We start from the raw sequence: 27,517 nt of genomic DNA, 5'->3' as shown, positions 1-27,517 counted from the left end.
TGGAGGTAGGTGAGGGGTCCAGGCAGAGTGGGGTGCAGGGATGGGCCGTGCAGCTCTGATCCAGTGACCCTGGCCAAGCCGGCACCCCGTGGATGGCCCAGCTCCGCCCTGGCCATCGACTGAGAGGCAGAGGCAGAGCCCTGAGTGAGCCGCCGCGGCCAGTGGGGCTGGGCGGCTTGGAGGGGCAGCACCTTGGTCCGAGCGACCCGGGGTGGCATTCCCCTGCATCTTAAGACCATAAACAGCTACTACGCGCATTCATAAATACACAATTTTATTTGCTATTTCCAGGGGAAACTTAGGCATTAAACTGTAAGCTGATAAAATACGATACCTAAAAAAGTATAAAAGTATAAATATCCCCTTAGAATAAATTTTAGTGAATTAAGTCTTAATATCTTTAAATTAAAAAAACCACAAGCCTATCTACTATGTCAAGGTCAAAAATCAAACAACGCTAAGCGGCCAGCAGCTCCCCAGAGAGGATGCCCAGGAGCCCCAGCGGCCGCCTTCCTCCCAGGCTCTGCTGGGGCTAAGTCTGCCTTCTAGAAAGGCTTTTATAAATTGTTTAAGCCAAACATTTAACAACATACAAGAGACCTTACAAAAAGAAGGAGGTAAGTCCTAATGCTGGAGAATTGGTTAATCAGGTGACTGGCAAAGAGGAGGATGAGGCCTAGGCAGGAAGTCTCCAGAAGCATTGGAAACCAGACAGTGTCAGAGCCTCTGACCTGCAGGCGGGAGGCCGGTGGTCAGTCTGCACAGTACCCCTTGGGAAGCCGGAGTTCCGGAAGCAAAGCGCTTGGAGCCCGCCCTGCACGCCGAGTCCCCAGACTCTGACAGGTCCCCACAGCCAGCTGAGAAAGGTCTGTTTTCAAAGCATGCGGGCAGCGGTTTCTAAAGGAATCCCAGCAGCTCCCACGGCATGTCGGGCAGAGCCCGTGCAGGTCGAGTGAAGTCCCAAACATCCCAGAAAGAGAGGGAAGGCTGCATAGTTATACAAAGAAAATGAGAGAGCGGCGAGAGAGAGGCATTTGTGATGCTCTGTAAACATCCCGAATTTTCACCGTGACGCAGACCTTCAGCTCCAGAAGCCAGTGGACAGGCCTCCAGCCCAACCTCTATGCCAGGCGTGACAAGGCACTGACAGACGCCAGCTCCCCGTGAGCCCGCAGTGGGAGGGGCGAGGCGACACTGCTACCTCGCGCTAACGGATGGAACAGATCAGTCTCCACGCGGCAAGCCCTGTGGGCATTTCCAGAGGAAAAACGCTGGGGAGTCTATCCACACAGAGAAGGGGTACAAAGTTCTCTTGCCTGGAAAATACAAATTGAGAAGCCTTGACTGTCCCGGGCTTGGTCAGGTGGGGTTGGAGCCCGTGTCAGAAGAAGGCCCGGCCTCGGAATGGCGCCGGGAAGCAGTGACGACGCAGAAGCCGCCTTTGTCAGGAGCTCTGCGAGGTCGAGAGAAACCAGCGATCCCGCCTGGGAGGCAGAGCAGACTCCCTGACCGAGACTAGGGCCTGGTGGTCGGACCAGAGGCCACGACGTGCTGGACACTGACGCGGCTGCGGCCGCTTCCTGCCAGTGAAGCCCAGGCTGCTTTTCCAGACTGTGTGTAGCACCAAGAACGCTTCCTTCACACGATCTTCAGGATCGAGCGGGCTGACTGGGAGTGTCTGCCTCAGTCCCACGTGGCACTTGGAAAAAACAGAGCGAGGCCCCCCCAAGAGGCAGCGCCCACCCGGCCGCCGTGCTCCCCCAACTTGGGGACGTCTGGCCTTGGACAGCTGGGCCCGTCTCTCACCACCCACCTCAGAGGCAAAAAAGGATTCACACCCAGATCTCTAGAAAAATGATCAAAAGCAGGTTTCTTCTCACAGCCAAGCTTCCTGGACATGGCAGTTCATTACATCTCGGGAAAACGTAAATCATTTCTTCAGCTGTCAATACTGTGTCCCTCACATCCTTGAGCCTCGTTCTTGCAAAATCTGAAAAACACCAAATGCATAAAATGAGGACTTGGGCTGAGGAGGTGTCCCTGACCAGGCGCCTGCTCCAGAAAACAGAGCCCACAGGCCTGGGGTTAGCTCGGGGAGCCCCGGGAACCCAGCGGCACTGGCCAGGGTCTTGGGGACTCAGCTGGCAGGCCCAGGACCTTCACCGGGGTGTCTGGCACATCTCCAGGCCCCACACAGGGAGCGCTCACTGTGCATGGCAGCCCCTCCCAGACCCACCCAAAGGCGCTGACTCTTGGGCCTCTCAGCCCACTCAGTCCTGGGCCTCAGACATGAAGCGCAACTCGGCCCGCGGGTCCCTCAGCAGTCCAGTCCCCCCTCCCCAATTAAGTCTCTCCCTCTGTTCCTCCATGCCCACTGCAGCCCCCACCCCCACCCCGACGCCCGGACCCTCCTGGAGATGCCCCTCACCCAAGCCCTCGGCCCTGCACCTCAGCCTGGCCAGCCCACCTCATGTGCTGGCCCCTCCCGACTGCCCCATGGAACAACCACCAGCCCTCAGAGGGCCCTACCCCAAGTGCAGATCACGCTGCGGGGATCCCCTCCTCATCTGTACCACGTCAGCCCTGCAGAGCCCACGGCCCCTCGGCCCCCTGCCCTCCCCACCCTCCAATCTCCTCAAAACTCTTCCTCAAGGTACCCTCCCCACTTCCCTCACCAGTGTCCAGGAACCCCCTGAGGCCACCCCCAAGTCGGCCTGGGCTCCCCTGAGGACAGGCTCAGGCGCTGGCCAATGCTGCTGAGGTGAACTCCCAAAATGAGCCATGGCAGCTCCAGAGACCAGGTGGAGGGGAAATCACCCCACGCTCCCGAGCAGAGAGCTTCGGAGCCAGCCAGCCTCACTGTGCGTGGCCCACAACAGCTGTCTCCATGTGTCACGTGAGGGCTGCCCAACACCAGGTAGGGCAGCAACGCCCACGCCCTCGCCGGGCACAGCCTCCCAGAGGTCACTGCCATGCCGCACTGACCGGAGAGAGGGCAGTGGTGAGAGGTGCATGCCACCCCAGGCTTGTTCCGAAGGCTCCTGGAGGCCACGTCCCCTGAGCTGCTCAGCCTGACTCCAATACTCCACCCCCCAACAGCTCTGCCGTTCCCAGGCGGGTGCCCCCCAGGCTCAGTGCCCTGGACCACTTCTAGCTCGAGGCTCCCACTCACTCTCCAGTGCCTCGGAGGAGCCCATCCCCCTGTGCGAGGGGCAGCACGTCCCTCCCTGGGCCAGGGTGATTCCCAAGTTTACTGGGATGTCTGGAGTTGACTTGGGGAGACAGTGCAGCCCCCAAGCCCCCACCAGCCCTGTGTAAAACTAAGTAGCGCAGCGGACAGGCCAGGAGCAGTGTGGCATCTGAGCATCCGGGAGCCCCAACAGCTCCCTCCTGATGAGGGCAGGAGACACCCTGGAGACCTGCAGCCAAAGTGCTGTCCTTCGCCCTCCCAAGGCCGGGAGCAGCACGGGCTACTCTAGACAGAGCCTGGGGTGAGACCCATCTTTTCTGGACACACTGTCTCCCTAGGCCATCTTCCACAGGAAGGTCCAACTGCAGACACCAACCAGGGGGCCCTTGAGGCTGTACCCCATGGCCAGACACCCCCACAGGCAGGCAGGCCCGGGTGGCTGAGGGGCTTGCAGGACACGGCTGGCCTGGGAGGCTTAAGCGCATCAGGGATGCCGCAGGATTTGGCAGCTGAGATAGGGGTCTGCTGTCTGCCGCACTGGTCCTGACCCCTTGGCCCTGAGCCTGTGGCCTAAGCCAGACAGGAAGGTCACCCACTAGGGCTGGCGGCACGAGTGGCACTCCCTGCCCAGCCCCCAGGAGGGGCTCTTGGGTTCACGACCACTGATGTCCACAGCCTGGCCTGGCACGGGCACCCTCCAGTCATCCCAACAAACGCCCCAACACTGCCCCTGGGCATCTGCCTCACAGCAACAGCCCCACCACCAAGACAGTGCTACTGAGGATCTACAGCTGGCATGGAGTGCGGACGGCTCTCGTCAACTACAGGCAGGGACAGACACACAGGGAGGGTCTGTGGCAAGGGTCAGCTGGGGCCATGGGGTCAAGGAGGCCACGGAGCTCACCATGACATTCACACTTAATCTGAGCCACTCCCTGGGTGCCCCTGGTCCTCGTCGTCACTCTGGCGGCGTGCAGCGCGCAGTGGGGGAGAAGACAGGCTGTCAGGACAGTGCGGGTGGGCGGGTGCCCCGGGCCCAAACCCCCACGCCCGGTGACCTTCCAGTGAGGCCACGCCACGAGGGGACACACAGGCTCAGGGGCTCTGCCACATCTCAGAGGTGGAAACCTCCACGTGTGAGGCGGCTGCATCTTGCGATCCGGGGCTGGTCCTGTCCCACCATGTGCTGAGGGGCTGAACCCTGTCCAGAGGCGCCTGGCCTCTGGCCCCACTCCTGGCAGGCGGCGCTAGCCCACAGATCTCGGCCTGATAGGAGGGCCTCTGCTGCGTGGGCTCTGTGGACCCCACTGCATTGGCCCCACTGCTGCAGGAGGGAGGGTGGGGCCCTGGGTCACAGGAGGGATCAGCCACGGGGGCAGGCGGTGGATGCACCCATCGAGCATGGCTACGCAATGGAGCCCCAACACCACCAAGGAACCCCCTCCTCAGCCGCCCAGGCACTGGGAGACCCCGGCCTCTGCCCAGGTGCCCGCCCTTGCTGATCTGAGCCTGTCTCTCTCTGTTCCTTGGGAATAAATGGCGGCCTTGAGTCTAAGCGCTCTCAGTGAGCTCTGCGAGTCCTTCTAGCAAGTTCTTGAGGGACTGGCGTGGGAAGCAGGTGTGCTCATGTGTGGACCGCCTTCACTTGCTACAGGTGCAACCCCTCCCGCCCCACCACCCAGGCTCTCCCGCCGCCGCTGACTGAAGTGGGGGACAGCTGCCCAGCAGGGCCAGGCCACACATGCTGCAGGGACACCAGCGACGAGGGCCCACAGCCCATGCGGCCCTGCGCAGCCCAGCCAGGGGTGCCCCCATCACGGTCCTCCAGCTCTGGCCCCCGCAATCCCCCACGGCCTCCTGAGGCTCTGGCCTGAGCTCTGCCTCCTGGGGCACTGCTGACACCACCCCCATCAAGAAGCCGCCATAGCTGCCCCACTTCAGAGCAGGTATTTTTGGAAAATGAAATAGGGCCACATTCTCAACCACAAAGGGATTTGGGGTCATGCCTGGAGCTTCCTCACAGTACAGAGCGTGTCCTTTCTGCAGCTGCCAAGCCACCTGAGGGATAGGAGCCCAGGGGAGCTTGGTTATAAAAACTCAGCTCAGAAATAAAAAACTTCTAAAAATAAAACCATTTAGAAAAGAGCCCTACGATTGCTCCAAGAGGAAGAGAAGTGCCTCCTTGTGACTGAGCTGGGGCTCTCAGGGAGCCAGGGGTCGCCTCCTAGATCCGAGACTCAAATGGAAGAGCATCTCCGAGCCTGGCGGTGGAACCCCAGCTTCCACCCCGGCTGTCCCACACCAGGGCCTGCCCCAGCCTACACTGCCTCGGCCTCGAGGAACGGCAGTGGAGCAGGACTGGCCTCTGCCCACAGCAAGAGCACAACGGGTGGCCAGCGAGGGAGGCTCTGGGCCAGGACAGTCGCCTGAGGTGGAAAGGCTGCCGTGAGCTGGCCGCAGGCCTCCGAGAGACATGCTTGGCGGCCCCACCCCTCTGTTCCCAAGGGCATACCTCCAAAGGCCTACTCGGAGAGGCTCACGGGGACAGTCCTGGGCTGCTGGTGGCCGGCCAGAGGCCCCCAGCCAAGAGTCTGCGGTTGCCCAGGTGTCCCTGGTTTAATGCCACCAGTTAAAAGCCTTCCGGTTCTGGCCTCTCATGGCACCCACTCAACACCCTTTGCCAATGCCCCGAGCCTTCGCCCCAGGCTGGCTCCCCACAGAGCCCGCCCCACCACCCAGGCTCTCCCAGACCCACGCAGACCCCAGCCAAGAGCTCTCCAGCCACCACCTGGCTCTGAGGTCCGGGAGTCCTGCCAGGTGCAGCTGGCCCAGGCCAAGGTCAGATTCTGCTTGGATGGACGCATTTGTCCATCTTGGAGCCTCAACCTTAAGAACGTGCTTAGAGGAAATGCCACCAGAATGGGTCACCTGTGGGCAGGGCCACAGGGCCAACCTGAAAGCAAACGAGGCAGGGGTCCCTGCATTTCACCCCAGCTGCCTGCCCCGCAGAAAACAGAAGGGCCTGAGCCCCCGCAGAGTCTGCGCCGGTGCTGCCAGGCTGGGTGCCGCAAAGGGCCTACTCTGTGCAGCCTGAGAATCCCAGGGCCTGCAGGACACCCTCCTCTCGACAAAGATGAGGCCCACGTAGTGGCTGAGCCAGGGTACCCACCCCTGCACTCAGGGATGGCCCAGACCCCCACCACGACAACTGGACCCCCATGTCCCTGCACTCAGGGATGGCCCAGACCCCTATGACAGCCAGGCCTCAGCATCCCAAGTCCTCACTCACACAGCAGAGGCTGGGCCCGGGGAACAGAGGACCCTGGGTCCCCTGAGACACAGCCCTCAGTGGCATTCCTAAGAGCATGGCCCCTGCAGCAGGCCTGGGGCCCCTTCCAGGAGCAGCTCTGCATGCAGGCTGGGAGGCCGCAGGGGCTTACTGGGAGCCTGTGTCGAGAGAACCTGTCCCACGGGAGACCGTGTGTCCAAGAAGTCAGCAAGGCCACCAGGGGCGGACACCGGGAGCTTGATGAGAATGGCAGAAAAGGAGGAAGGTCTGAGAGGGCAAGAGCCTTCCCCACCCAAGACTGCCCCAGGCCAGGGCCGGCCCAGCACTCACCTTGGCCTTCTCGCTGGGCTCGCTGGCCGTACCGTACGGGGTGTTGTGCAGCTCCTTGGACACCACACAGAGGAACTCGGCTTGGTCTTCGTTCCCATAGTTGTAAGAGGAGCCGATGCTGACCAACTGCAAGGAGACATAGCCTGAGACGCAGCCCAGTGAAGCCTGAGAGACCCAGCCAGGCTGACATGACCAGCCTCAGGACGCGCCTGCCACCGCGAAAGCCACAGCAAAGACTGCCGACGCTTCAGGAAATGGATGGAAAACAAATCCCCGGAACACCTGCACGAGCACACGGGGCGGCACCCCACGCCGTGGCATGGCATGGGGCGAGCTCTTCCTCTGTGAGGACCCTGAGCTTTCCTTGGCGCTTCCAGCTGGGCCAAAAGGGGCTGCTGCCCCAGGGGGACGGAGCACAGACGGGTCCCTGAGCTGGGGCGGAGGGAGGGGGGCAGCGGGAGGAGAGTGGAGGGCGGCTCTGAAAACCTGGAGGGAAGAGCCTGGGACCAGCTGACTGGACCGAAAGCCGCTGGAGGAGCTGTGCTGTCCAGGAGTTCGGCCAGGGCGGGTCTGCTGCAGCCTGCTGGCCACACCCTTAGGCCACTCCAACCTGCCTCCCTCCGGGTCACCAGGCAGGCCAGGCCAATGCAGGTCCAGGGCCAACCTGTCTCTCTGGCCAGGCATCTGGCCCATGGCTGGCTACCCTGGGCCACCAGGCACTTCTGTGCTTTTAAAGGGAAAATTAAAAGGCAATACGCAAATCACAATAAGCATGACAGCAGCAGATGACCAAGCCAAAAAGCAGCTGGACGAGGCTCACACTTTGGCCTCTCTAAGACCTGCGCAGTTGGACCAACGGCCGGGAGAGCAGCCCGCAGCTACCTGCTGCTCCTGTATAGCTGGCGGCTGACCCAGTGGGCAGCAGTGGACCCAGCCCAGTGAGGCGGCCACAGGGGTGCCGGCATGGGCCCAAGCAGCTAAGGGTACCCCTGGGAGCACTCACGGCCATGCCCCCCGGAGCCCCTGTGTCCTCACAGCCACTTCCAAGCCCTGCTTGCAATCCCCTGCTGACCACTGGGGACCCTGGGTCCGGTCTGGCCACCTCCCAGCACCCCGCAGGGTCCCACCCCACAGCCGGGACAGCTGGTCAGCCCAGCGGCTTCCCTACATGAACTGGGAGAAGGGGTCCCCAAGGGATGAAGCGTGCCAAGCAGGTCGTAATCAAGGAAGGGGGAGGACACCCGTTCTTTGCAATGGGTTTGGAATCCACCCAGAAGTGCTAAGGTCGAAGACCTGAAGCTGCCCCGGGAGGCAGGTGCCCACCACGGGCAGGAGACATTGTTCCCTCCCAGCCAGAAGTCACAAGACGGTGGCAGAAGAGCACAGGTGCCACATGGGGACAGCCCTGTTCGCGGACCCCGAGCTGCTGACACGGCTTCCCAGGGCCCCAGCCCCACCAAGGGACAACTGGGAGGTGGGGCTCGCCCAGCAGCAAAGATTTCTGTTCCCGTGGGAGGCTCTGGCACGATTCTGATGAGGTGCAGGGCAGGGACCAAGCAGCTGGTCAGCAGCCCTGTCAGCACAGAGACCCAGAGTCACCCCGGCCCCCGGCCTAGGGGTCCAGGGTGGACGGTGGGACACAAATGTTTTTAGTGACATTTTAAGGGGGGGGGGGCTCCAAGTACCCTACAATGTGATCTATTATTTTGAAAGACTCCAAGGAAAAGGTAGCTTTCATTCAGAGGGACACTGGCTGAGCCTGTCACTCCCACAACCTGGCAGGCGCACTGGGCCATGGACAGAACCTGCCCCAGACAGAAGCAAGTGACAGAGGAAACTCAGGACAGGGAGGGCTGGGTGAGGTCACTGTCCCCACCCTCAGTGTCTGTCTAGCACCAGGAACAGTGGCAGCCAGGTCGTGGGCAAGGGCCCCCCGGTCAGAGGCCATGCCTCACGTGTCCTGAGGTCCCCGATGACAAGCCACAATGCCATGGCACAGTGGCCCATGCAGCACTCAGGTGGCTTCCGTGGAAGCTGCTGAAGAAGGCATGCCCTGCACAGACCCATCAGACCCCACCCGCCGCAGCTTGCCAAAACCAGAGAGAAGGCAACGAGGGCCTGGCAGCACCTTCCAGCATGGGCGGGAAGGGGAGGCAGCCTGGGAAAGGCGTCAGGGCCTCCATATGCTCCGATGGAGTGAGCTGTGGGGGACGGGGATTGCGCTGGATAGTGGGCTGGCCAGGAGGCTCTGGGGACGCCAGTCCCCTCCCTCACACAGAGGTGCCAGATGATGCGAAGAAAGCGCAGCGCTGGGAAGAAGAGGCAGGCCAGGGAGGAGGGGAAGGTGCGGGGCAGAGCCTGAGACACCTCTGCCCACCCCACCCGAACTCCCAAGGCTCCTCCAGTGGAAACAGGGCACAGGTCGCTGCCGTGAGCACCCCCAGAACTGCAGGAAGACGCCAGCAGCAAAGTCTGCATTTCCAGGAGCACTGAGCCCTGAGCCATTGTGAGCACAAGTTCAGCTGCAGCATGGCTGCCACCAGGCTGGCCAGGGCCCCTCACCTGCTCGAACTTCCAGCCGTCGGACATGGTGGACACCATCTGCGTGAGCTCCTCCTCCTGGCACTGCAGCACACGGTACACATGCTTCACAGGCACCTGCAAGGACAATGGGCACAGGTAAGGGCGGGCCACCCATGTCCCACTGCTGCCTGTGGCCCCAGCCCAGGTGACCCAGGGAGGCTGAGGTCCACTCTGCAGTTCTCAGCACAGGGCACGAGGCCCAAAGCAATCCTGAGCACATCCACAAAAGCAAAACACGCGGCCCGAACAGCTGCTGTTTTCTGCTTCCTCGTTCGCCTCCAAAAATATTTCTATTTCTAAGTTCCAAAATAAAATGAGTCATGTTCCTGAAATCCCAAGAGCACCTGTGGCTCGACATGACGACACGAGAGCGTCCACGTCTGCTCCGCACGCAGCAACCGTGCAGCCCTGAATTCATCGGTCGGGAAAGGCTCTGGCAAGCAGGGCCCTGAGAGCCAGTGCCAGACGAAGCTCGCTCCCAGCTACCAGAAAAAGGCTCTTGAACTTGCGCGGCAGCCTGGACTTGGGCCTCCCGAAGGCTGAGCTGCTTCCTAAAACTCCATCCACCTCCTAATCCCCCACCTGCCTGGCACGCTTGCTGTGCCCCTCCAGGCAGCTGTGGTCCTGGGAGTGATGGTGAGCCACCAGGGCCGCCCGCCTGCATGGAGCTGCTCCCCAGTGGGCGGGGTGGCCCCACATCCTGGACAGTCACTACGGAGGACTCAGGCTGCAGACGGGGCTGGACGGAAACGCAGCAGTGAGAAGGGGTTCAGAGGTCCTGGGTCCCTGACCTTAAGGTGGTGACTCATGCCAGGGATGCCTGAGTGACAAAGGCACACAGTGGCCTCGAGGTCACATGCCCGAGTTGCTTTATTCTGCAAGACAGTGAGATGCTACTGTGTCACAGCAAGGCTGGACCGCAGACTCTCCCACCTGCACCATTTCCTGCCCACCTGCGTCATACAGGTAGGTAGACTGAGGCAGGGAGTGCCCACACAGCCCGGTCACACAACAGGGAAAAAAGCAGACTGGACAAGGTGACCCGGGGCGCGGGACGCAGCTCCTGCCCCACAGACAAGGAGCCCCTCCAGATCCCTCAGTGGCACCAAGGGAGCTCCAGCAGGAGGGGGAACTGGGCAAGTCGCTAGGTGGCCAGCGGCCCTGAGCGGCCAGGCTAGGAGCGTCTGCACAGGGCCCAGGGCTCTACGTGGACCGAGACTTCTGATGGCAGCCGCGGCCACAGTGCGGCACACACCCCACTCCTGGTGCCTTCTCAAGGGAGCTGAGCTTGGGTGGGGGGGGCGGGCTCAGCTCTCAGGGACGGGACTGATGCCCAAGGCCCAGCAGTGGCCCCTCCACAGGAGGTACTGGGCAGAGCCCACCAACAACCTGGGCTCCCCTGGCTGCAGAAGGGCCGTGCCAGCTGTGAGAGGTGTGTCTGTGGCGAGCCGCCCCTCTTCCCAATAAAACCAAGGTCCTTCTGGCGCCTGCGCAGACCCACACGACCCATCTGCTGTCTCCCTCCAGCCATGCTGGCTGCAGGCCCTTGGCACCCTCTGCTCCCTACCAGATGCCATCCACCTCAGGGTCTCCCCGACCGGCCCTCATGGGGCCCTCCTTCCCTACACACGTCTCCCGTGCCCAACTTCCTCAGAGCCATCCTTTGGGGGCTCCCAGAGTCTGGGCCGGGCAGGATGAATGGATCCTTCAAGGGACCCTGGGGAGAGCCGGGTAGACGGAGCTGGCAGGCACTGGGGCAGTGACAGAGGACAAGGGTCTCAGGGTAGGAGAGCCCCAGACCGCAGGACTTATTTGGGAGGCAGCCGGTCGGGGGAGTAAAGGGGAGCCCTTCCTTCACACCAGCCATACAAGCTTCCAGCCTCAGTCATTTGTCTCACCTGCGATGTTTTGCTGTCTCGTTCTCTAATTTTGTCCTTTACAAGTTTTATTAATGAGGTGATATTGTAAAATTCTGCTTCCTCCAACACTCCTGGAATAAGGAAAAATAAATTGTCTTTACCAGACCAAACTAAACCAAAGAATCCACGCTTTACACCCACCCCTGCCCTTGCCCCTGCCCCTGCAATGAGGGCCCATGGCTCGGCCCAGCGGGAGCTGCTCAGGCCCCGACCTAACAGGCTTCCTGCAGACGTGTCAGCCCAGCAGGGCTCCTGGGATAATGGGCGGAGGGGCCGTGGTGAGAGGGCCGATGTGTGGACTGAACACCTCCAGCTCAGGTCACCCCAGGTAACCTTGAGTGACCTCCAGTGACCCGCCAGGTATGGAGCCGCTGCTTACATGCAGCTCAGCGTATGTCTACGCCGAGGCCATGGTATGCTGGGGGTTGGATCTGGCATTTTCCCTCCAAGCCTGGAGGCCGACGCTTCCTGCTGGGAACCTGCTCATGGCCACGCCACTGGGTGGGGTGCTGTGTGGGGCTCAGGCCTGCGGCCTTGTGCATATGTCTCAGTCACCTGGCACCTCAGTTGACCCCATTCAAAGGGAAGACTGTGGCTGGCTGAGAGGGTCACTTCCAGCTCTTCCCAAAGACTGCCATCCGTAATGTGCCGCACTTAGGGACTGCAAACCTCCCTTAAGAGCCTTAAGAGCAGATTCCACAGGTCCTGCCTCAGGGCTTCCTCATGGGTGGTCTTCATTCCTCCAGGACCCCAGAGGAACCCACATATGGCACATGGCAGCTCAGGACAACACCCAGCCACCTACATGGGACAGGGCCACGCAGGATAGAGACAAGGAGACGAGGGCCTCAGAGACACAGGCTTCCCGGCCCCGCATGGGTCCCGCACAGCCCCCTTCTCTAGCACCCAGGGCGTGAGTGGCTGCATCGGGGCGGGATAGAGGCAGACCGGTGAGCCTGGGCGGCAGGGCCTTGGTCTGTGTCTAGCGCCCGTTTCTGAGCCAATCCCACTAGGGGCAGAATGAGATAAAGCGAAGCCTCGACTCGAGCGGCTCCACGACAACACAAGCGGCTGCCCAAGCGACCAGAGAGAGTACATGTGAAAGACATTCCCTGCCAAAGAGACAGGAGTGGGGATCATGGCTCACAGCCTCAGAGCAGGGGCAGGGCTGGGCCACAGCCCCCGTCACTCCACGCCCCGCGTGAACTCGGAGGAGGCAGGCAGATGCCGAGGCCCAGAGGCCCAGAACAGAAACGGAGTCAGACGCTGCCCAGTGCAGACCGATGCGCAGACACGGACCCGGGGGAGCAGGGCCACGCCCGCACGCAGGTGCCCAGAAACCCTCAGCCTTCACGGCGAGGCCTCGAGCTGTTCTGAGCCAAGCCAGCACCGCAGCACACAGGCAGGCCAGCCTGGGCCCAACGCGTGTGGGCGCCGTCCCTGCACCACGATCACTCAGAATGGAACACGGCAGCTGGCAGCAGCAGGCACAGTCCAGGTGATGGCACAGAGACATTCACCACCCTTGGGCTGTCCTTGAGGGAGAGCAGGCCAGGGAACCAGGCCCTGAAGCACGCCGTGGGCATCACCGGGCATGTGCCTCACACACCCGCTCAGACCACCTCAGTCACAGCAGGGAGGAACCCCTCACACCCCTTGTGTCGCCAGCCGGAGCCTGGACAGAGGGAGCCCTCCAAGGAGCTGCAGCCAGGGAGGACCCCACACCCACAGGGTCCCCAGGCCTCCCTGTCCGGCAGCTGCGCCGCTGCCCGTGGCCTCAGCACCAGAACGTCGGCCCCAGCTTCAGAGTACAGGGCCTGCTCCTCCCTGGGGCCCCAGGCTGCAGGCATCTGTGTCTTAAGTGGAGCCCTTGGCACCTTTGTCGGGCCCTTGCCCCCAAAGCTAAGGCACCTGTGCCCAAAACTCGGCTTACCTTCCTCCGCGAGGTCTTTGTTAATCACCAGCTTGCCGTGTCTCAGGTAGTTCAGCACAGGCCCAAAGTAGGTGGGGTCTCTGTCGATTAAATAGGCGCCTGTTTCATCCTAAAGAGAGCAGAGCACGGTGAGTCCTCCGTGAGAAGCCGAAGGTTCCTGCAGGTCCACCAAGGCCCGGCCACCTCAGGAGGCTTCAGAGGCACCAGGTTACCCAGGCCTCTCCCCAGCACACCTGAGCCTGCGGCATCTCAGGAAACCCCTGACGGTGTGGCCACGTCCTGCCGCCTACAGCCTAACCCTGACCAGCCACCACCCCAGGTCTAAGTGAGTTTAAGTCTCTCCGTACGGAGGCAGCCTGGCTCTGCGTACTCCAAGGTGAGCCCACTGTGCCCTGGACCTCTGTCCTCACAACTGCAAGACCTCTAGGAAAACACACACGAAAACCTCACCCAGAGATGCCCTCGCGGGCAGGGCAGGGGCCTAGGGCTCAGCCTCAGAAGGACACCTCTGATGGCCACCAGCCTGGGCCTGCGCTCCTCGTGCCCGGGTCCTCCGCAGCCTACATGCAGGAACCGGGGGTCAGGGTGACAGGGGCTTCCTGCCAGGGGTGGAGAGGGCACCTTTCAGCAGGGGCGGCTGCCCAACAGGCCGGGAGCCAGCAGCGAGGGAGGCCACAGTGACCGGCACTCAACAGCATCCGGGGCTTTCCCCAAGATCATCACTCACCTCACAGAGCCCTCGCCCCGGCTCAGCGCTCACGGAGGCCGAGATGTTTACAAAACAGACCCCTCGGAAGGTGTCCTCACGCACCTGGGTGGAGGGACCCCTGAGAGGCACTGCCCCTGCTGCTACCACGGCCACTTCAATGTGGGCAGATGCCCTCTGAGGCCCGGGGTGCCCCACACATCACACCTTGCAGCCCCTTCCACAAAGCACAAGAGCCCCAGTGGCCCGGCCGTGAACACAGGACGGGGGCTCAGACGCCCCAGGCAGCCCCCATGGGGGAGACGGAAGAGGCAGTTTCTGTCTTGTCGGCTACACATCTGATGGGGGGACTGCGAAGCTGGCACAGCCTGTCTTCTACACAGACTCAGACCTTCCGTGTGGCTCTGCTGGGGCAGCTCCTGCCTCCCCCCACATGCCTGCAAGGGTCCTGCTCCCACCTGCGAGCCACTCCCACAGGGGCTGGTGCCTGCGGGTGCCCTGGAGGCCGGGGAGCTGAGGCCTCCGTTCAGAAACACCGGCAGCCTCCCCGGCGAGGCCCAGGGCCAAGCGCTGGAGAAGCAACCCCACACCCCATTCGGAGCAGGAGCAGCCCCCTCACCAGATGGTGGCTCCTGTGGGGCCATGGGCAGGCGCTGGCCACGGGAATGCCAGGCTCGCAGATATGGGGAGGCCGAAGGTGTCTCCACCACAAAGCACGGGGCCACGCTAGGACCCTATTTTCATCCATGGACAAATTCTGCCATTTGGGTGCTAAGACCTAGTGGTCTCAAGAGATTTTCCCAAAGTCCACCACCGCAAACCTGCAACAACCTGCTCTTTTTAGATCACAGGGACTGAGTTTTGTGGCTGAGATAAAATCAATTAGGGCTCCGGGCATGGGGGCGCTGGACCCGGAGCCTCGGCGGCCCCCCTACTCCTTAGGGTGACCCCAGCTCCACACAGACCTGACCCTATCCTCCTTCCCCACCCTCCCCCGGAACACTCCAGCCAGAGCTGCCCACCCCACAGGCCCTGCCTCCTGGGCTTGGCCCTGCCTTTCCCCAGCCCTCCAGACTCCACAGCTCTCAAGCAAGGGCCGGGGCCACAGGGCCAGCTCCCGGGAAGAGGACGCTGGGCGGTCCTGCGCAACTGCTAAAAAATGGACACCATTTCCCACAAAGGGGCCCAAGTCTGGCAAGGCGGCCAGTGCTGCCACCCGAGTCCAGGGTTCCTCCCTGCCCCACCCCCATACAGAGAGAATGCTGGCCGCGTGACGTCCGCACACCGCTCAGCTCAGGAATTATTCACGGCTCACTGCTACCTCGACAGACCGCTGGCAGGAGGTCAGGAAAGATCAGATAGGGCGGAGGCTCGCCTCTGCCCAGGACAACCCCAGAGAACCCCTTTGTCAGCCATGGAGGCCTCCAGGCCTGGCCTCAGTGGTCAGACTGCAGGCTCACAGCCAGGCCACCCCAAGCCTCAGTTTCTTTACGAGCAAAAGGTGGGGGAGACCAGCTCGTGTAGCTCGGGGCCGCCATGAGTGCCAGGGCACCCAACCTGTGGCAGGACCTGGGCACTGAGCCGTGACCTCTAGGCCAAGACAACCCACCATGTGCTTCTCAGGCCCTGGGCCGGTGCAAGAGGAGAAGGAAGCGTGCTGGGCGCCCCCAGACACACGAGGCAACCCCAGCCCTGCAACTGGAAGGATGAAGGCAGGAGGGAAGGAGGGCAGGGTGGGGACGGCCATCGGCGGAAACTGCACAGCAGGACAGAGGAACACAGACAGGTCCAAGGAGCCGGCAGGGCACTGAGCGTGCTGGCACTGGGCTCGGCCTCAAGACGGGCAGGCAGGGGTAGGCCGCTGCCGTGTCTTGGCCACTCCTACCACTGGGCGGGGCTGGCTTTTCCATTAAACACCCCCTTTAGGAGGCAGCTTTTGTGGCTGATGCTTTGAAGGAACTCCTGACCTCAGTCTGGCCACAGCTGGCCCAGTGCGGTGATGCCAGCAGCAGGCCAACTGGTGCAGCTGCTGCCATCACGTGATACCTGCCGCTGCAGGGAGGGAACAGGGAGGAGGCGAACAGACCCCACTCCCCACACCATAGCCCACTGCCCTCAGCATGGCAGGAGAGCAGCATGGTTGGGTGGAGAGGGGCCCCGATGCAGAGCTGGGGCTGTGCTTCGGGGGCCTGGGGTGGGTAGTGAGAGTGGCACCAGCGGTGAGGACCCAGCCAGTGGCACAGCCATCACACCCACCCCACTGAAGATGTCAGGTTCCCGGGCCTCGGGAGGAGGATCTGCGTGGGGCTGCCTGGGGCTGCAGCCCTGGGGTTCGCCCCACCCAAACTATGGCTGCAGACCCGGGCTTCCCGCTCCACGGAGCAGGCAGGCCCACAACTGCAGCTGCCCAAACCACAGCCTCAGGCATCCCTGCACTCTTGGGGGCCCAGAAAGGCCCCTCTGCCGGGCCCTTGCAGGCTCAGAAGTGCCTGCTCTCACTGCCTGGCTTACTCCTATTGTTGGTGCCTGCTCCGATCTTGGAGCAAAGTTGGGGCCGAGCCCAGGCGCCATGTATGGCAGCAGGAGGCAGATAGATTCCTGGGAAGAAGGGGGTAGGTCCCCGGTAAGGCCCCACCTTCAGGCCAGGGAGGGCATGAAGGCTGGGGCCGGGCTGCCAGTCCCGGGGACCAAAGTGGGGACTTGTGGTGCGTTTTCCGGGCCTGCCCATGAACCAATTAGTATGCACTTCCTTCCCTCTGGGTCCATAAGAGCCCTGGGCTCAGCCAGAGCAGGGCAGAGGACAAAGAGGACAGAGACAATTGGCAAGTGGAAGACCAGCTGCAGAGGGAAGCTACCCTCTCTGCTGAGAGCTGGGAAGTCAATGGAGAGGAGCCAGCCAGTCCGGGGCCGCTTCTCTGCTGAGAGCTGCCAACTGAATGAGCCGACCTGCCTACAGAGAGGAGCTGCCCCCACAGTCTCCTCTGCACTGTCCCAACACTTGGTAAAGCTTCTCTTCGTCATGCTCACCCTCCACTTGTCTGCTACCTCATTCTTCCTGGACGCAGAACAGGAACTTGGACAAAGGTGCTGCCGGCCAGAGACGTTTCTGGCCAGAAAAGCGACACCCTAAAGACACCGTATCAGCAGGGCTGGGCACATCCAGACACAGGGACGTGGAGCTTTGCAAGGCCAAGTTTACCAGCCGGAGCCATGGCACCTTTCCAGGGTGCCTGAAGAGAGATCCTGCTGGCAGTGAGAGCTCTGGCCACAGTGGCTAGGCTCTGCCCAGCTCGTCTCAGTCCCTGGAGCTCAGGCTCCTGACAGAGGGACCAGGAAGCCCCCGGACGCACCTGTGTGGGAACCGCACGCCCCAGGAACCTTCCTGATGCGCTTTCCCTGCAGCCTGTGGCTCCAGCCCATCCCTGTGCTCAGGGGCCAGCAGCCTGGGTGCAAAATACCCAGCCATCAAAGGCAGGGGAGGCTGAGGCACCGCGGGGGACCCCACGTGCATCCAGTTAGGAAGAGACTTGAAAGGAGCAGCCTCTGGAAGACTTCCAGGAGTCCAGATGCTTGTTGCCAACCTCGCTGGGAGCCAAGGCTGCAGGGCAGAGGAGCAGAGAACCCCAGCTGCGTCTACCAAGAACCTGCCAGCCGCTCCACACCCCCGCCGCCCCAGTGCCTCCAGGACAGTGGGCTTCCTATGGGGCCCCCGCCACAGTACACTCCTCCCACGTGGTTCAATTCTCTGAGCCCCACGACCTCTGGGCCCATGCAGGACCTACCCAGGCTGCGTGGACTCGGCGCGCCGGGCCTGCAGCTGCCCCCACAGCCCTCTCCCGGAGTGACACTGCAGAGCCCTGCGTGGCCCTAGAACCCAGCTGAGCCGCCGGGCACCAGAGGCTGAAGGGCGAGCAGTAGGCTGAACCCTTGGTGGGAAATTCCAAAACTGGCTCTTCTGTGGCTGGCCTCACAGCTCTCCGGCCGTTTCTTCCCATGGGTTCCTTCTAACTGGTGGGTTTCCTCGAGAAACAGGCCCTGTCTGGGCAGAGCGGAAGGTCAGGGACATCCGCACCAGGGCGGGGAGGCAGTGGCGTGTGGAGGTGCTGCTCTCACCACTGCTCTCTTTGAAGCTTTCAATGAGAGATTTCCACATCCATAGGAAGTGCCAGGGTCTTAAACCAGGACCCCCAAATCCCACCAGGGTTCGGGTCTCGCTGTGGCCTGACTCGCTTCCAAGCATGTAGGCAGGGTCTTGGTGCTCCCAGCTCGGGTGAGCCCACATGTTCCAGATCGGCCTAATGTGTGCGGGGGCTACTCGTGGTGCCAGCCCAGGCCCAGACAGTGCCCAGCCCAGGCGCGAGGGCCTCGGCAGCTCACTGCTGGTGTTGGGGATGTGGATCAGCCTCCACCCTGATGCAGAAACAACAAAAAAATATGGAACATGGGAAAATGGGAAACACAAAATCATACAAAATTCAGGATATACTCCGAGGCTCATGGAGACAAAGGCAGCAAGGTCACCTCGGGGAGGTTTAGAACAGCGTCTGGGCCAACCTAGGCAGGGCCCCTGTGCTGCCCGTAAGGCCATCAGCGGCGCCTGCCCAAGCCCCCATGACACGAGGAAGGAAAGATGCCCCGGCCCGCTCACGCCTCTACGACTGGGATGAGGAGAGGCGGCCAGGAAGCCAGTGAGATGCTGCGGGCTGGGCGTGGGGGTGCTCTTCTTCCTGGCTTTCTCATACGTTCCACGGCTTACACAACCAGCACAGGCTGCGCTTGATCTCAGGAAGGTTCGTGGTGGTTTTTTTCTAAAACAGCCATAATTAAGACTGTTTTATTGACAAGTCATTTCCCTCATCTTCCCCGCGTCTCACTGAATTGGCATCTGACCTACTTGTGGCCGGGCCCAAGCTGGCATTGAGTGGGCCCAGCAGGCTGGGCTGAGCCACCCATCTCCAGAGGTCCCAGGCTTCAGCCGGAGCCACAGGACGTAGGCCGGGCAGGACAGTTGCCAAACCACAGAGGAGAGGGCGACCCTGGCCACGGGAGCACATGGCAGACAGCGCCGAGCCAGGGCACACACAGCCCTGGCAGACGGAGGAAGACTCCGCAGACAGAGCTGACTGCTCGCCCACTCCCCAGGTCCACAGGGCAGCCGCAGATGGACGTCTGGTCAGGAGAGCAACACTCAGAGAAGTGTGGTAACAAGACTGGCCGCTCTGCTCATCTCACCAGACTCCGGCTGCAGCTCTCCGCCATCCATGCTGTCACCCAGCAAAGCACCGGGGGCAACGTGGGGGTTCCCCAGCCTCTCAGGGACAGGTCCCTAATGCAACCAGCAGCCTTGAAAATGGCAGTGAAGGGCTGGGCACAGTGGCTTACGCCTGTGATCCCAGCACTTTGGGAGGCCAAGGCAGGCGGATTACCTGAGGTGAGGAGTTCAACACCAGCCTGACCAACATGGTGAAACCCTGTCTCTACTAAAAATACACAAATTAGCCAGGCATGGTGGAGGGTGCCTCTAATCCCAGCTACTAGGGAGGCTGAGGCAGGACAATCACTTGAACCTGACAGCCCCGTTGCAGTGAGCCAAAATTGTGCATTACACTCCAGCCTGGGCGATCCAGTGAGCCTCTGTCTCAAAAAAAAAAAAAGAAAAGAAAACGGCAGTGAGGAATGAGGGTGGAGACTGCCAGGCTCTCACGCCAGATTCTGAACCCAACATAACCCTGCTGCTGCCCAACCCTCCCGCAGCTCCCAGAGCTCTGCAAAGAGGGTCGGCCCTGCGGCTCTCAGTCATTCCCGGTGCTCGGAGACACGTGCCACCAGAGGGGAACGAAATCAAGAGGGTGCAGTGCCCTGAGCCAATCCAGGAGATAAACTCTGTCAAATTGCCCCACAGAAATCTAGACGCGAAGGCATAGAATTTCCTGTGCACCAACATCTGCAATCAACCTAATTAGAAATACTTAGTTTTTACTCTGAAATTATCCATTTCAAGTGACTCTGTTTCAATTTCGCACACAAAACCTTCACCTCTACTCTCTCTTCTGTTTTGTTTTATGCAGCTGTGGCATATCTTTGGCCCACAAGAGGACTTTGATGTCACCAATTACTAATGGGGAAACTGAGGCCAGAGACCAAGGAGGCTTGTCCAAGGCAGCCAGATTCGGAGAGCAGGGTGGGGCCCCTGTGCCCTGGTCGCCAGGCCTGCTGCCTCCCCACCACCCTTCCCTTCCATTGCTTCTCGGCCTCACCCAGCATAGAAACTGGAATTTGGGAGGTCCCTGCCCCACACATGACTCAAAGCTTAGTGAGAAGCAGACGTGTGTGGACTCACGACCTGGCCCCTCACAAGAGGTCCTGCGGCTTCTCGGGGAAGAAACATGCTTCAGGTGAACCACGGGGGGTCTTGCCAAGCCGAGGTCGCTGCAGAGAGTCCTGCTCTGCTCGGCAGGAACTGGAGCCCTCTCAGGAGCAGGGGTGTCAGGTTTCTTGCAAGAAAACTCGGGGGCTGCCCAGGAAGCCCTGCCCTCCCCACAGTGCAGGGTCCAGTCCCCAGAGGTGGAGACCCACTCAGCGGGGGCCTGTGCTGCTAGGGTCAGCCAGAGCTCTGGGTGGCAGCAGGGGGACTGGCAGGGCGAGCCACTCCTGGCCATACATGCTGCCTTCAGGGACCTCCGGTGCATCACCCGAGGCTGACAGGGCTGAGTGTGGCCAGAGGTCGACATTAACAGAAATTAAGTGTGGCTGCGGGAGGGGAAAAGCGTTCTTAGCATATCCTTCCTAAAAGTAAAGTACACTCACACCTGTAATCCCAGCACTTTGGGAGGCCAAGGAGGGCGGATGACCTGAGGTCAGGAGTTCGAGACCAGCCTGGCCAACATGGCAAAACCCCTTCTCTACTGACTATACAAAAATCAGCCAGACATGGTGGCTCGTGCCTGTAATCCCAGCTACTTGGGAGGGTGGGGCAGGAGAAATGCTTGAACCCAGGAGGCAGAGGTTGCAGTGAGCCGAGATCACCCCACCACACTCCAGCCTGGGGGACAGAGCAAGACTCCGTCTCAAATAAATAAATAAATAAATAAATATATATATATATATATTTATTTATTTATTTATTTAATAATAAAAACCAAGTACAAACATGAAATGAAGACCGCCAGGCACAACCTCTCCTGACTGCACTGACCTGGCACCAGGTACGGGGCGGGGGCATCACATTTGTCATCTTCAGGAGAGGACGTCACAGTAAAGTAAGGACTTTACAGAGGAAGAAAGCACAGCTCACAGGGGCACGAAATCACCCCAAGTCATAAGGCAGGCCAGAGGTGGGCAGATTCCAACCCAGGCTCCCCAACTCCAAGGAAGATGCTCTGTCACATCAACCCCAGGCCAGAATGTTCTAGACATTCTGCAGTCCATGGAGAACTGCCGAGTTGACGCCCAGGGAGAACAAGCATGTCCTGGGAGAGAGATGGCTTGCTGGCACCTTTGCTACAAGGACCCCTCCCATGGCGCCAGGCAGGCAGGTTCTTCCCCAGGCTTTAAAGACCATGCCTGGGGACTGCTTACCTGGGGCGTGGAGGGGGGCTGCTAAAAGAACCAAAGTGCCTACAAGTGTCTGAAAAGGAGTCCCTGGGATGCCTGGTGGTTAACGACAGGGCCGGGGCGAGACCAGGCAGCAGGCGCCCCCATCACGGCCACAGCCCTGGCGAGGCTTTAGACCTCACTCCGTGACCTTTCAGAGCAAAAACGGCCACACACAATCCGTAAGCAAATGGGCATCTCTGCATTCCTGTAAAACTTTACTTGCAAAAACAGGCAGGTGGACCAGCTTTCTGACTCCTGCTCTAAACCAAGACTAGTCACTGCCCTGCTGGACGACAGCCACTGAAGGCTGTATCTGCAGGGCCAGAAAGAGGAACTGCCCTGCAGCGACAGCATTTCCTCCCAGCCACCCGCAGAAGTCTGGAGGCGAGAATGCCGAAGACCGCGGGCCCATGTCAGGTGCCCCGAAACAAGCTCTTCTCAGAAAGCCTCAAAACTGTTTTCTTTCATTCTTCCTAGGTAGGACTGAACCCATCAGAAACGTTCCATTTCATCACCAGAGTCGAGTCCTTTTCTCAGGAATTTATGGAACTGACTCGTGGCCTAAGGTCTAAAGGGCTTCAGGTGAGGCACCTGATAAAGAGGTGAGCACAGGTTTGCTGAGGACCAGCACCTGCTGCAGTGGGGAAGGAGCGGGGAGCCCCCAGCACCGCAGGGACCATCGCAGAGGTCCAGAATAGAAGATGACTTGTGGTCAGAGCGAAGATCGTGCTCAGAGCCACATCCTCAACTGAAGCGTGAAACAAAGTCCATCAGCGTCGCAGACACCCACTAACGGCCTCAAACTGAGGCCACCATAGCTCTCACCAGTGCTGGCTACACAGAACATCATCTGCCATCTCCACTAGACGTGATCCCCACTTCTCTTGCCAAGCGGCTTCAAAGACGGTACTCTAGCCCACACCCCATCACTGGGCCCTGTCTGAACAATTCCTTCCATAACTTTCCACCCCCGAGGTCTTGCCAACACCCAGTACACTGTTAGAGGCACCCTGACTGCCCCACCCCTCAAAGACCCATCTGATGCCACCACATCTGGAACCCTCAAGCCGGGACAACGGCCCTGTTCAAAGGGCAAAAGTTCACGTGCAGTTTTCTCCAAGGCTGCCTCAGCTGCAGGAACCGAAGCCTCCCCAAATTCTCCTCCATCTGAGTGGTTTCCAACCATAAAGCAGTAGTATTTCCTGTTTCCTTTTAACTCCTCAAGTATCTCCACACTAAAGCAGGGGCTGCTTTAGCTGGAAACAACAAACTCGACTTTGTTTTCAACAATGCCTATGGGCCGGGGACCATGCAATACAAGAGACCTAACCAAAATGAATCGAGTCTTTGGGAAGCCGTATTCCACCTGGCCTGCCCTCGAAGACACCAAGGAAGAGAAAGATGACAGAACAGCAGATGAGCAGATGCTGAAATGCTCACCACAGCCACAGTCCTGCTGGAGGAAGTCCCAGGAGGAAGTGAGAATTCACACCGGGCTGTCTAGAAAGAGAACTTTGTGGCAGCAGGTCGGCCCTTGGAACAGCAGAGTAAGGGCTTGGGAGCGTGGAGTATGGCGGGTGGTGGGTCCCAAGCTGGGCTCTGAGGACTTGGTTGGGGGCAGTCACAGCCCAGAAGCTTAGATGTGGGGCCAGAGGGCAATCAAGCCAGCCCCTTGATGTGCGTGGCTTTCACCACCCTCCCTAACAACCCGTCTGTCAAGAGCTCCCCTCCCTACCAGATAGGATGCTTTAGCAGGGTGCTCTCCCAACCTCTCAGGCACCCAAAGCTTCTGTGGTTTCTTGGGAACTCCTCCCCCTTAAATCTCCCCACCCAACTCCTCTCCAGACCCCCACACTCTGCAAGCCCAGGTGCTCACTCCACACAAGTCTAATAATCCAGGCAGGGACTCTTCCACCAGATCCATGCTTAAGTCCAACTCGAGGAATATTCTTTCCTTAATCTCAACTCTGAGGTCAGGCCTTGGAGATCTTTACAGGTGAATCAACATCCTGTTTGTCTTCCAACGTGTCATTAATGGCCTCCCACTCCTGACACCCCTTCCCCCCCTCCTCAGATTCCTCAGTCAGCATTTAATTAGGAGGAATCTCCTGGGACATTCTTTCATCAGAGCCACTGGAGACAAAACTAAGATGAAGCATTTTACACATTTCCTCATTTGATGAAAAACACCGGAAAACACTTTAGTAACGTGACTAATATGAATTAGCACTACACTTTTGGCAAACTATCTGTCACTAAAACTAACCTTATTTACTCCAATTATTGTTTTCTCCTTTTCTTTTTTCTTTTTTTTTGAGACAGAGTCTCGATCTGTCGCCCATGCTGGAGTGCAGTGGCGCAACCTCAGCCCACTGTAACCTCTGCCTCTCGGTTCAAGTGGTTCTCCTGCCTCAGCCTCCCGAGTAGCTGGGAGTACAGGCACGCGCCACCATGCCCAGCTAATTTTTTTGTATTTTTAGTAGAGACGGGGTTTTGCCATGCTGGCCAGGCTGCTCTCAAACTCCTGACCTCAGGTGATTCACGCGCCTCGGCCTCCCAAAGTGCTGGGATTACAGGCGTGAGCCACCTTGCCCGGCCCCTACTCCAATTATTGTATGAGACAGAGACGACTGTATCTGCTACTTTACCTTCATGTTCTGAATTTGAGTTTACCATTTGGAAATCAAACCTGGTTAAATGGATGATGATGAAAAGAGCAAGTATAACACAGATATATTCAGAAAGATTAATTACCCCTCGCTCAAAGAATTGATTCCTACAGTAAAGCATTTTTTTGTTTGTTTGAGACAGAGTCTTCCTCTGTCATCCAAGCTAGAGTGCAGTGGCGTGATCTTGACTCACTGCAAGCTCCACCTCCCAGGTTCAAGCGATTCTTCTGCCTCAGCCTCCAGAGTAGCTGGGACTACAGGCACGCGCCACCACACCTGGCTTATTTTTTTTTTATTTTTTTTTTTTTGTGATGGAGTCTTGCTCTTTCACCCAGGCTGGACTGCAGTGGCGCTAACTAGGCTCACTGCAAGCTCCTCCTCCCAGGCTCACGCCATTCTCCTGCCTCAGACTGCCTAGTAGCTGGGACTACAGGTGCTCGCCACCGCGCCTGGCTCATTTTTTGTATTTTTAGTAGAGACAGAGTTTCATCATGTTAGCCAGGATGGTCTCGATCTCCTGACCTCGTGATCCGCCTGCCTCGGCCTCCCAAAGTGCTGGGATTACAGACGTGAGCCACCGCGCCCACCTTTTTGTATTTTTAGTAGAGACCGGGCATCACCATATTGGCCCGGTTGGTTTTGAACGAGATCCACCTGCCTGGGCCTCCCAAAGTGTTGGGATTACAGGCATGAGCCACCGCGCCTGGCCCATAATTTTTAACAAAGTCTTAAGGAACAGTAAAGCAAAGGGATCAACCACCTTAACTGTGCTAAAGTTCATCAACTGGGAATCAAGTGCTCCAGTGCTGAATAGACAACCATTGCCTCAAAGAACCCAATGGACAAGAGCAATTTAAACTCTAATTTCATATACAAAACAGGAATGCTTGAGTAGAAAGGCAAGGGAGTGACCACTAAGCCCTGTTATTTAAAAAGAAAAACCAAACAGTAAAACATACACCCACACTTATAAAAGGAAAATCACAGCTAACAAACGCCTATTTCTATCCTGGGGATGACTGTCATTTCCTGGGAGGTCAATTCTCTGAGTAGAGGGCTTGGTCAAATGAGCAATGGAAACAGTTGGAAGTTGTGGGGAGGCACAGGAGGGTTGGCATCTCAAACCCTCATTTCCACCCACAAGGCTGCCTTAGCAGTAACTCCAGATTCTCACTTCCTGATCACGGTCATGCCATGCTGAGAATGGTCTCAGTCAGGCTTCTCAAACTTGAAGAGGGATCCGAACCTTTCTGGGAAGCCTCCTGCATGGCAAATGTTGGCTGCCAAGGCACAAAGCCAAGCGCAGTCATGTAAGCTCAACTGAAAGACCCCGCAAAGTTAGTATAAGGCTTGTGAACTGCCTTGAATAAATATAGGTAACAACTTCTTCAAACAGGCTTTTTTGTGAGTTTCAATCCTGCACAACTCCCAAGACACGGTTCCTCGGCTCCACAACTCTTGATAAATAAAGGTAGCAAAAGGTTTCTATTACCATCTACCCAACAGCATGAGCATTTCGCTTGATGAAAGACAAGCTGCAAACTAACCTGGAAATTCCTGTCCTTTTGCGAAGACAGTGGGAAAACTAAGCCAATTAGAAAGCAGATTGAAAGATTCCTTACCTGACCCTTCCTGGACATCCCTAAAGCAACCCTTAATATGAGCAAAATCCCCTTCGAAAAATCATACTATATACTACGGACGCATCTTCTAAGAGGTGCTGAGTGGGTGCTGCGTGCTGTGGATGGAAAGGATGGAGCGCCAACTCTCTAAATGCAAGTCACCAGGGAAAAAAAGGGCCGCCCATATCAACCCCCACGTCAGCGTTAATTCAAACGTCCAGAATGTGAAACAACGCCAAGGGTTCTGTTTCCAGAGCCAGCAAGTACCCTGGGACAGAGAAGAGAAGGCGTTCACACACCCTGGGCAAAAGAACCTAGTGAGAAAAAGAAAGTAGAATCACAGCAAAGTCCGGGGTCTAGGAAGCCTCCTCCACCAAAGAGCAAAGAGGGCGAGGAAGAGACACCCCCAAGGTGAATCGACTCAGGATCCTCAAAGGCAGTGGACGCCAGGGCGCCATCCTCACCCTCCCCTCCCAGGGTAGGGGATCGGGGCAAGCTGGGGAGGAGCTGGCGACAAGGGAGCGCGGGGCTCGAAGCCCGAGGAGAGTCGCCCGCTCCCGCTGAAGTCTCCTCCGCACGAAGCAGGGCGTGTGCAGGAGCCGCAGGCCGGGAAGGCCAGGACCCTCCGGGCTGGCCCGTGAGGCCCTCACCTTGTCTGAGTCCAGGTCGGGATCGGCCTGGCATAAGCGGTACAGGAAGGATTTCGGGTCCCGGCACAGGGTCTGCCGAGTGGTGAGGAAGTAGGTGCCGCCGACGTTGAGTCGGACCCACTTGGACACGCTGCCAGGGCGCTGGGCCAGGGCGCCGAGCCCAGCGCTGCAGCGGCGGCACAGGCCGCCCCCCAGCCCCGCCCCGATGCCGCCCCGGGCCGGCGACAGGAGCTCGCAGTGATTCTCCGCCATGATCCCAGCAAGCCCCGCAACAGCTCCCTTCCACCGGAAGCGTCCGGCTTTTAATAGCGTCCTCTGAGTTCTGTCCCGCCCACAGGTCCGCCCTGGTAGAGCGCCCGCCCCGGCGTCACGCGGTAGGCGGAAGTTCCGGTCCCGAAAAGCAGGAGGCTGGGCCCGCTTCCGGCGGGAGCGGAGCACGGGGTGATCTGGGCACTAACGCTGATGGGGAGCAGCGGACATCAGCCTCGACCTCCCACGAGCGGTGCACGAGCGCCTGACCCAGACCTCGACCCTAGCCTTCACCCCCACCCTGACTCCAGTTCATGAACTGGTCAAAGGAAGAGCCATGCCAGCAAACGTCTACACTGTACATGCTTTTTATTACAAGACTACGGAGCATAGGAGGAAAATTCATCATCTGGTAACTACACCTAAAGCACAAATATTTGGGGGGAAAAAAAGAACAGATTCATTAAATTATATGATTAAATCATTGACCCAATAGAAAATTTATATAATAAGGGCGGGGCCTGGTGGCTCACGCCTGTAATCCCAGCACTTTGGGAGGCCGAGGCGGGAGGATCAGGCGGTCAGGAGATCGAGACCACGCTGGCCAACATGGTGAGGCCCGGTCTCCACTGAAAATACAAAAATTAGCCTGGCGCGGTGGTGGGCGCCGGTAATCCAAGCTACTCGGGAGGCTGCGGCAGGAGAATGGCGTGAACCCGGGAGGCAGAGGTTGCAGTGAGCTGAGATCTCGCCACTGCACTCCAGCCTGGTGATAGGGCGA

General features: G+C 59.2%; 1 protein-coding gene across 1 annotated transcript, besides 9 other annotated features; it reads right to left on the bottom strand.

Moving 5' to 3' along the window:
• Positions 1–257: 257 nt before the first annotated feature.
• On the bottom strand, positions 258–26,765 carry KCTD5 (potassium channel tetramerization domain containing 5). The gene is made up of 6 exons (NM_018992.4): positions 26,488–26,765; positions 13,245–13,353; positions 11,291–11,382; positions 9,372–9,467; positions 6,810–6,935; positions 258–1,990 (listed from the first exon to the last, which is right to left on the bottom strand). Exons 1-6 carry the CDS (start codon positions 26,737–26,739, stop codon positions 1,961–1,963), a joined length of 705 nt encoding a protein of 234 aa, NP_061865.1. The 5' UTR covers positions 26,740–26,765; the 3' UTR covers positions 258–1,960.
• Positions 15,152–15,969: an enhancer, noted in NCBI's record as "H3K27ac-H3K4me1 hESC enhancer chr16:2743320-2744137 (GRCh37/hg19 assembly coordinates)". NCBI's record gives its function as "activates a minimal SCP1, AML or CMV promoter by ChIP-STARR-seq in naive H9 embryonic stem cells {active_cell/tissue: H9 hESC(naive)}" and the evidence as "EXISTENCE:reporter gene assay evidence [ECO:0000049][PMID:30033119]".
• Positions 15,970–16,788: an enhancer, noted in NCBI's record as "H3K27ac-H3K4me1 hESC enhancer chr16:2742501-2743319 (GRCh37/hg19 assembly coordinates)". NCBI's record gives its function as "activates a minimal SCP1, AML or CMV promoter by ChIP-STARR-seq in naive H9 embryonic stem cells {active_cell/tissue: H9 hESC(naive)}" and the evidence as "EXISTENCE:reporter gene assay evidence [ECO:0000049][PMID:30033119]".
• Positions 19,892–20,480: an enhancer, noted in NCBI's record as "H3K4me1 hESC enhancer chr16:2738809-2739397 (GRCh37/hg19 assembly coordinates)". NCBI's record gives its function as "activates a minimal SCP1, AML or CMV promoter by ChIP-STARR-seq in naive H9 embryonic stem cells {active_cell/tissue: H9 hESC(naive)}" and the evidence as "EXISTENCE:reporter gene assay evidence [ECO:0000049][PMID:30033119]".
• Positions 21,817–22,106: an enhancer, noted in NCBI's record as "active region_10279". NCBI's record gives its function as "activates an Ori minimal core promoter by ATAC-STARR-seq in GM12878 lymphoblastoid cells {active_cell/tissue: GM12878}" and the evidence as "EXISTENCE:reporter gene assay evidence [ECO:0000049][PMID:35858748]".
• Positions 22,467–22,516: an enhancer, noted in NCBI's record as "active region_10278". NCBI's record gives its function as "activates an Ori minimal core promoter by ATAC-STARR-seq in GM12878 lymphoblastoid cells {active_cell/tissue: GM12878}" and the evidence as "EXISTENCE:reporter gene assay evidence [ECO:0000049][PMID:35858748]".
• Positions 25,797–26,407: an enhancer, noted in NCBI's record as "H3K27ac hESC enhancer chr16:2732882-2733492 (GRCh37/hg19 assembly coordinates)". NCBI's record gives its function as "activates a minimal SCP1, AML or CMV promoter by ChIP-STARR-seq in naive H9 embryonic stem cells {active_cell/tissue: H9 hESC(naive)}" and the evidence as "EXISTENCE:reporter gene assay evidence [ECO:0000049][PMID:30033119]".
• Positions 26,083–26,132: an enhancer, noted in NCBI's record as "active region_10277". NCBI's record gives its function as "activates an Ori minimal core promoter by ATAC-STARR-seq in GM12878 lymphoblastoid cells {active_cell/tissue: GM12878}" and the evidence as "EXISTENCE:reporter gene assay evidence [ECO:0000049][PMID:35858748]".
• Positions 26,203–26,252: an enhancer, noted in NCBI's record as "active region_10276". NCBI's record gives its function as "activates an Ori minimal core promoter by ATAC-STARR-seq in GM12878 lymphoblastoid cells {active_cell/tissue: GM12878}" and the evidence as "EXISTENCE:reporter gene assay evidence [ECO:0000049][PMID:35858748]".
• Positions 26,503–26,682: a silencer, noted in NCBI's record as "silent region_7065". NCBI's record gives its function as "represses an Ori minimal core promoter by ATAC-STARR-seq in GM12878 lymphoblastoid cells {active_cell/tissue: GM12878}" and the evidence as "EXISTENCE:reporter gene assay evidence [ECO:0000049][PMID:35858748]".

Source organism: Homo sapiens, chromosome 16 (genome assembly GCF_000001405.40).
Source record: "Homo sapiens chromosome 16, GRCh38.p14 Primary Assembly".
Lineage (NCBI taxonomy): Eukaryota > Metazoa > Chordata > Mammalia > Primates > Hominidae > Homo > Homo sapiens.
Note: the sequence above shows the minus strand (reverse complement) of the source record. Positions and strands in the feature narration are given on the sequence as shown.